Source organism: Homo sapiens, chromosome 9 (assembly GCF_000001405.40).
Source record: "Homo sapiens chromosome 9, GRCh38.p14 Primary Assembly".
Classification (NCBI taxonomy): Eukaryota; Metazoa; Chordata; class Mammalia; order Primates; family Hominidae; genus Homo; species Homo sapiens.
This window is the reverse complement of record NC_000009.12, coordinates 33,227,266-33,236,161: the sequence shown is the minus strand read 5'-3', so window position 1 is coordinate 33,236,161 and position 8,896 is coordinate 33,227,266. Positions and strand designations below refer to the sequence as shown.

General features: G+C 51.3%; 1 annotated feature.

Annotated features, from left to right (window-relative positions):
* Window positions 1,560-2,759: an enhancer, noted in NCBI's record as "MED14-independent group 3 enhancer chr9:33233401-33234600 (GRCh37/hg19 assembly coordinates)". NCBI's record gives its function as "activates an origin of replication core promoter dependent on BRD2, BRD4, P300/CBP and CDK7 cofactors, and independent of MED14, by STARR-seq in HCT116 cells {active_cell/tissue: HCT116}" and the evidence as "EXISTENCE:reporter gene assay evidence [ECO:0000049][PMID:35650434]".

Genomic DNA, 8,896 nt, shown 5'->3' with positions numbered 1-8,896 from the left:
TCCACTGCCAACAGGAAGAAGCCCAAACTCCTTAGCCTGGTGACCACACCCCTTCAACATCTGATCCCAACCCATCTTTCCAGCTTCACCTTCACCTTGCCCCACCCTGGACCTGCACTTCTTCAGTTCAACTGAACCCCTTGCACAATTTATTCTGTCTGCTGGCAATGCTGGGTCTCCCTTCTCTATCCCCCTACTCCCATCCTGTGAAACCTAGCTTAAACATTCCCTCTTCTGAAACCTTCCTAACTGCCTTTCACCAACAAGGTCATGACTGTTGTCACCCACCCTGAATGCCCCACTCGCATTGTGCCTTCTGTCTCCTCCATCCGTGTCTTCCCCCTGCACTTTGGTGGCCCTTGCTTATCCATCTGCTGACTAAGCTGCAAGCTGTCTGGGAAAAAGGACAATGTTTCAATTATCTCTATTGCCCTGGTGCCCAGTCCTGAGCGTGGGACACAGTAGGTGCTCAATAAGTGTTGAGGCTAGGCATGGTGGCTCATGCCTGTAATCCCAGCACTTTGGGAGGCTAAGGCAGGAGGATGGCTTGAGGCCAGGAGTTTGAGACCAGCCTGGGCAATGTAGTGAGACCCCATCTCTACAAATTTTTTAAAAATTAGCCAGGCAGTGTGGCACGTGCCTTGTAGTACCAGCTATTCTGGAGGCTAAGGCAGAAAGATTGCTTGAGCCTGGGAGGTAGAAGCTGCAGTAAGCTGTGATCACACCACTATACTCCAGCCTGGGTGACAGAGCGAGACCCTGTCTCAAAAAAATGTTGCGTGACAGATCCAAGAACGGGAAGAACACAGTGGGCCCAAGGGCAGAGATGGTGCCTGCTTTGGGAAAAGAGGAGGTAAGTGCTGATCCCTCCATGCCCCTGGGATGCCGTGAGTGCCCAAGAGAGCCCCCAGATACACACAGGCCCCAGGAGGTGTGGCCTGGGTCACAGTGCCTGTTGTGTCTCTGGCAAAGGAGTAAGGCTGCCACCCTCCAGCCTAAGCCAACCCCTCCTGCACTCTTTCCTCCTCTGGCTTCTCTGAGACATAGAGAGGTACAGGAGAGAGCTCCGGACCAGGAGTGAGGCAATCTGGGTTTGTGTGTTCATTCAACAAATACTTATGAAGTATCTACCATATTCTGTGCACTGTTCTGAGTCACCAGGGGGTCAGCTATAAATAAGATGGAGAAAGTCCCTGTCTTAAGGAGCTTACGTTCTAGTGGGGTGATAGACAACAAAGAAAGACAACAATAAACACATGACATGTGATGTGGAAGAGAAATCAAGTGGCCAAGAGGAGAGTGACAAAGGAGAGGCTTCTCTTTGAATAGTAGCACATGAGCAGAGAAGAAACGAGTCCTGCAGAGGTGGCAGGGGAAGAGCCTGCCAAGCAGAGGAACTGCAAGTGCAAAAGCCTTGACTTGGGAACAGGGTTGGCAGCTACAACACCAAGGAGTCCAGTAGAGCCAGAATGGAAAGAACAAGGAAGTCAGTGGCGGGAGGTGAGGGCCTCGTTGTACACTCAGCTCCCAGCCCAGCTACCAGTTTCTTAGGTGAGCTTAGGTGCATCCCTTCCCCTCTTTGGGCCTGCACATGTTCTTCCATCTCCCATGTTGGGTTCACCAATTTGTACCACCAGCAGCCTGACTCCCAGGGCACCTGTGAGGGCCCTGGAGAGGAGAATGTGAGATGAGATGTGTGTAGCTGCTGTGATACCAAGGAAAGGGTTTAAGTGGGGATTCCTGGAGGCAGAGGAGAGGCCAAGACCTAAATGCCCTGGGCACCTGCACAGGTCCTGGAATCAATACAATCAGGACACAGATGACCTAAAACAGGGCTCAGGCAGGAAAGCTGGGCAATTCCTGCATCTTCTGCCCCAGGTCAGAGTGAAAACCTGGGTCCTGTGCCTTGGCTGGGCCAACACTCCCCAGCCTCACCCAGCAGCCTTCATGCCATCTGCTTAGATTGGCCTGGTGCCCAGCTCCTTGAGGTAAACAGCCACTCCTTGATGACGGCAATGCTGGATCCATCAGGTCTGAGTCATGGGTTCTGCTGATGGGTGGTGGGGACAGAGGCCTTGTTTAGCTTAAGGTGGGGGAGCTGAGCTCCAGCAGAGCTTGGGTCTGCCAGATGGCATGGCCAGCATGGCCAGTTTGCCCTGGGACCACCTTCCCTGGCCTCCAGCTCACATCCTGCTCCACCCTTCCTCCAGCCCAAAGTGCCCCCACCTGCCTGGAAACCTGTGTGAGCTACCCAGGTGTGGGCATCCCCTCCAGGGAGACCTGGTCTGGACTGAGCCAGCTCCACAGCCTGTCCTGGGCCCCTCAGCCACCCAACTCTATGTCCCAGGTCTAGAGCCCACCTGCCCATTCCACTTGGTCCAGAGCTGTAGGGGGCAGGCAATGGGAGGACACTACTTTAAGGAGAGGTTTCATCTACTTTTTTGGGATTTGACTCCAAGGAATGCTCAGTGATGAAATGAGCTGAAGTCATCCCTCCATGGGGGCATCCACTCTACCATTCAATGGACACTTATTGAGCACCTGTTGTGGGGCACCAATCACTATGCCAGTCCCTGGGACTCCAGAGATGAGTGAGACTTGGACTCAAGGAGCTTGCAGTTCACCAGTGGTGGAGAGGTGGAATGGACTCTTGAGCAGGAATCTATAAAATGCTGTGGTGAGAGCTGTGATAGAAATAGAGATATTCCTTCCACCCCATTATCCTATGGACCCCCTTCTCAATATGTCCAAAAGTCAACTTTCCATCTTCTGTCCACCCAGAGCTGCCCTACCTCCCAGTTCCCCCACCTGGGTGGACAGCACCACCATCACCCCACTGCCTTAGGCTAATCTGGGGACCATCCTGAGCTTCTCCTTCACCTCTACATTCCAGGAACCAGGTCTTACTGATTTCACCTCCTCACCACCTCTCATATCCATCACCTCCTCTATATTTCCCCTAGTTCAGCCTCTGCGATCTCTCACCTTCATTACTCATGCTGTTTCCCTGCCTCCAGTCTCACCTCCTCCAATCCATTCTGCTTCCAGAGCCATCTTTCTGAATGCAAAAATGACCACATCATCCCTCTGCCTAATATTATTCAATTACAGATAGTCAATTCAACTAAAGTTACTCAATCACAATGACTCAAGCATGAAAACCAAGCTCCTTGGTTTGTATGACATAAAAGTTCCGCCACGACTGGTCCTCTGTTGGCCTCTCTAACTTCACCTCTGGCCACTTGAGCCTTCACCCCATCCGATAGAACCACCTGCAGGCTTTTACGCCTCCAAGCCTTTTCTTATGCTGTTCTTCCTGATTGGCGTGCCCCTCTATTACCTCCCCTTGGGCTCTCCTCTCAGACCCTCAGCCCACTCCAGTTTGGGGACCATGTTTGCACAGACATCTATCCCAGCAGCAGCTGTAATGTTTCATGACCTTATCTTGCCTATGTGACTATCTCTCATATTTCCTTAAAGAGAGGAACAGGGGGACATTTAAGTCACTTCATATCCCCAGTGCTCTGCCCAGGGCCTGGCATGTGTGTGTTGACTATTTGAATCCATCCTGCACTGGATGAAGTCTCAGGACAGTAAGGATGCCAGCTTCAGATGCTTGGTCTGCTGGACTGAGGGCTTGAGGAAGCTCTGAGGACAAGCTGGACTCTAGTGGGTCCACTGGGTCCAGCCAGTGACATCCTATGCTGTGTCCATATAGGTGGGAACAGAGGTGGCACTCTATTTCAAGGACCACATTTTCTACTAGCTCTTAGCCAACCTGGCTGGGGACCTAAGAACTTAGTATCTCCTCTAAGACCTGAGTGTGGTGCTTTGTCTCCATAAGCTACCCCAAGACCATCTGCTGAACTCACAGGAAACAGTTTCAGTGCCTATCTTCTCTCCTGGTGCATGGACTCTTGGCTTGATCACCTCCAACCATAAGGGATTATCATACAGACCCATCGAGGAGTGGGGCTGCTCAAGAGACCTGGTGTTCTGGGACCTTGTGCCATCCAAACATTTCCATTCATGGACATAACCAGTGGCTCAAGTCCTCTGAGCATACATACAAAAGAGCTTAGAACAAAGTCTCTTGATACCCCCTTCCGTTCCAGAGCTCTGATGGCCTTCAGAAAAATCAGATTATCACAGCCTGGTGCAACATGTCACAACTCCAGACCACTATGAATTTTGATAGGGTCCTTGGGTTGCAAGCAACAGAAGTAGATTTTGGCAAACCTCAGCAGAATAATAATTTTCCAGAAGGATGTGGTATTGTCTTAGGTTGGACTCAGGGGCAGACCATGAGAAAAGCACATTAGATTCCAAATCATTTTCTGGGAGGCAATCCCACGAAACACCTGCAGGAGAGTGGGAATAAGGAAGGCAGGGAAGGGAACTAATAATGTATGCATCGCTGAGGTTACCACTGGGGAAACTGGGCCTCAATCCAACCAGGGATGGCTGGGACACTGTGTGGCACACATGGCAGAGTTATCCCCACTGAGAGGTGAAGGAATTGGGGTATATATCCAGCAACTCCCAACAGTCGCTGATTGAGGGCTGCTGGAAGAGAGACCATTAACTCCCTGGCACTATCGGCTAGCTCCTTTCATGTCTCTGGGCTCCTAGAGAAAGCCTCCGGGCAAAGGATTGCAAGGGTTGCACAGGGAGGCCGCAGGTATGCACAAGAATGGGGAGTGGTAAACAGTGTGGGTGGGACACTGACAGTGCCTGCTACCACAGCTGCACAAAAAACTAGGTGACAAGCTGAAAAAACTATGCCCCAAAAGAACTGGGCTCAAAAAACCTAGAGTTATGTGTCCACATTCCGTTTTTTTGGTTTTTGTTTTAGAGACAAGGTCTTGCTCTGTTGCCCAGGCTGGAGTGCAGTGGTGAGATCACGGCTCACTGCAGCCTTGACCTTCCTGGCTTAAGCGATCTTCTCTCCTCAGCCTCCCAAGTAGCTGGAACCACAGGTATGCATCACCATGCCCAGCTAATTTTTTATTTTTATTTTGTAGAGACAGGGTCTTCTTATGTCGCCCAGGCTGTTCTCGAGCTCCTGGGCTCAAGTGATCCTCCCAAAGTGCTGGCATTATAGATGTGAGCACTGTGCCCAGCCCATGTCTACTTTCTGACCAGGGAAGGGAAGGCATTTTTATGGACAGTCCCTTATTTGTATCCAATGAAGGTAAGTAGGTCTCCAAAGAAAACCTGGGATTCTATTACCGAAAGGAGGAATGTTGCTGGTCAGACAAAAGCCACAGATGTTACTAAACCTTCCCCACATGCTTACTTTGTTTTGTTTTGTTTTGAGACAGAGTTTTGCTCTGTTGCACAGGCTGGAGTGCAGTGGCACGATCTCAGCTCACTGCAACCTCCGCCTCCCGGGTTCAAGGGATTCTCCCACCTCAGCCTCCCGAGTAGCTGGGATTATAGACGCGCACCACCACACCCAGCTAATTTTTGTATTTTAAGTAGAGACAGGGTTTCACCATGGCCACATGCTGATCTTTCACTTGTACGATGAATTCGCTCACAAGAGCCCAGGGCTTCATAAAGCTGGCCCAACAAGGGCCTCCTGATGGCTCCTGGACACAGGGGTGCCGTTGTCCAGAGTAACAGCTCCCAGACTCATGTTGGAGTCCTGAGTGCTGCCTCCCTTCTGGGCTGTGCCAGGGGTGGGCCAGGAGGCAGCCATGCCATCAGAACCTGGGCTCTGGAGTCTGGACACCTTGTCTGTGTGACCTTGGGTGTGTCATTGCACCTCTGAGCCTCAGTTGCTCACCTGTAATCAGGGCTACTTCATGTGGTTGTGTGGAATGTGTTCTGTTCATCTCCAGGGGGTGCCATTCCCCTTAGATTCCATGGGCCCTGTAGTGTGCACTTAACTGGAGTGGGGGCAGGTAAGGTATCCAGCAGCAAAGTTCAGAGGCCATGCAACCTGCCCAAAGGATCCTGGGGTGTGCTGGGGAGAACCAGAGTTTTGTTCACAATCTCCCACTCTCATACTTTTCTTTGGGGGGGCTGTCATCATGCTCTCCCACTTATAGACAGGCTTACTGTTTGCTATTAGGGATGGGGAGGTATGGCTGCAGACCGCTTTTCCCAACTTTGTGAACTAAAGGAACAGAAGGGACTTTTCTCCTCTCCCCACAGCCTCCTTCAGTGTATAAAAACCCAAGAGGAGACTCTGATTGGGTTGGGTAAGTCATGTGCTCATCTCTTGAACCAATCAATGTGGCCTGGAAATTGGGCATCTGTGATGGGCCGGGCTGAGGTCACATGTACCCTATTGTTGCCAAAGGAACAGGATAAAATGATTAGCGATTTTGGAGCCTGGCAAATGGCACAGCCTCAGAGCCCAAAAGGCTAAAGTCTTCAGTCGGTTCCAGGAGCCCTGGAAATTCTTTCCTTTTCATGATGTTTCTTTTCCATATCCAAGGTGGCCCTGGTTGGTACCCACCCTCTTAAGGCAGACTCTCTTCCAGGCAGGTGCTTTCAACATGCCCATGGGCACTGGTCCAAGGCAGGCAAGGGAGAGGTCTAGTTCTCATGCTCAAAGGCGCCCAGTAAATATTTGAGGTGAGTCAGTGCGTTGACAGGTGAGGCCTCAGGGCTTGTCTGCCCCTCCCTGGTGATTGTCTCCACCTGACCCTCAAGCTGCCCGAAGATCTCTGCTGCCCTCTCCCTGTGGTGGGTGTGATCTGGGCATGGTCCCCTGCCCAGGGTCTCCTGCCCACCTCTTTCTTCCCAGCCTCGAGGAGGGGTCCTTAGATCCGCACAAGGAGTTCCCCCTCTTAGCCTCTTAACCTGGCCTTATAATTCTATCTATTTTACAGACGAGAAAATTAAGGCTCAGAAAGATTAAATGACAAGTTCGAAGTTTCCAGCATTGTAAGTGGCAGAGCCGGCATTCAAAACAATATCTGATTTTAAATCTCAGACTCTTACCAGATTCCTCTGCCCACCATAGATTCTGGTTTTAAATACATACACCCAGAAGCCCATCCTGGCCCAGTAACTGAAATAGCAGGAGCTGAAAGAGCCGCACAATTTGAAGTGAGTTTCGTGGAAAATTCTGTGGTCCAGCCTTGGCAGGAAGTTGCCAAAATAGTCGAGTGTGGACCACAGGTGGAACCTCCTTGCATCTGGGCCCAGCTAAGGTCTAGAGGTCCCTGAATATAGACCCTCTCCAAAAGGCAGTCATTCCAGGGGGTCCAGGCAGAAGGTGGGAGGAGCTGCCACACATGCCCCACGGCACTTATAGGTTCAGCAGGCAGGACCCATGTGACCCCAGCTTGGCATCTTCCCAGACACAGCCACTGGCAGTATCTATGACCAGGCTGAATTTAGACACGGGGTCCAAAATACTGCTACTCATCCCACCACCGACCCCAGCAACCTGCACCCTCCTCACCAACATTCACATAGTACCTGTGCTGTCCTCGGCATTGTTCAGAGGGTACACTGCTCCCTTTGCAGAACCTCTCCTGTCTGGCCCTCAAGGCCAACCTCCCCCTCCCTTTATGGTGAATGGGGTATGGGCATGGAGTCTCCTGCCGTCTCTCCTCTTCCCTCCCAGATTTGAAAAGAAGTCTTTGGACTCTCACCAGGATATGTGATATCCTGATATGTCCAGCCTTAGGGTCTTCTGCTGTCCCTTTCTGAGAATCTGTGCTTGCTGGGAACCCAGGACAGCTCCAAGGACAGGAAGGACTGAAGGAAGGGGCAGTGTGGTTTGGAGAAAGATCCCAGATTCAGGAATACGACAGAACCGGGTTTGAACCCTCATTTGGCCACTCACTCACTGTGATAGGCAGACCGATGCTCCCATCCCCCCAAATACCTACCTCCTTATCCCCCAAACCTGTGAATATGTTACCTCACATGACAAAAGGGATTCTGCATCTGTGATCAAAGGAAGGATCCTGAAATGGGGAGGTTATCCTGGGTTACCTGGGTGAGCTTGGGCCATAAAGTTCTCATAAGAGGGAGGAGGGAGAGTCAAAGAAGGAGCTGTGATGATGAAAGCAGAGTGGGGGGTGATGCAGGCCTGGATCCCAGGGTTAGAGGCAGCCTTAAGAAGCTGGCAAGGGCAAGGGACGTTTTCTCCCGTAGGGCCCCCAGAGGGAGAGCAAGCCTGTGCCCCATTTCTGACTCTGACCCCCGAGTGGAACAGAATGCATTGATGTTGTTTGAAGCCTCTGCGTTTGTGGTAATTTGTGACTGCAGCCATGGGGTGTGAATCCACAAGTTCTGTGACCTCAAGCAAATTCCTTAACCGGAGAGCCCACATTCCCTCATGGGGTGAGGGTGCCGTGGCTCATGCCTATAATCCCAGCATTTTTGGGAGGCTGAAGTGAGAGGATTGCTCGATCCCAGGAGTTTGTGATCAGCCTGGGCAATATAGCGAGATCTCGTCTTGACAAAAAATTGTAAAATTAGCCAGGCATGGTAGCACACGCCTCTAGTCCCAGGTATTTGGGTGGCTGAGGTGGGAGGATCGATTGAGCCTGGAGGTGGAGGCTGCAGTTAGCACCACTGCACTTCTGCCTGGCCTACAGAGTGAGACCCTGTCTCAAAAATGACAACAACAACAATAATAACGCCTACCTTGAAGTGTTGTATTAAAAAGTATATATTAGGGCTGGGTGCGGTGGCTCACACCTGTAATCTTAGCACTTTGGGAGGCCAAGGCGGGCATATCACTTGAGGTCAGGAGTTCGAAACCAGCCTAGCCAACATGGTGAAACCTCGTCTCTACTAAAAATACAAAAAAACATTAGCCTGGCATGGTGGCGGGTGCCTGTAATCCCAGCTACTCAGGAGGCTGAGGCAGGAGAATCGCTTGAACTCCGGAAGGGGAGGTTGCAGTGAGCTGAGATTGCGT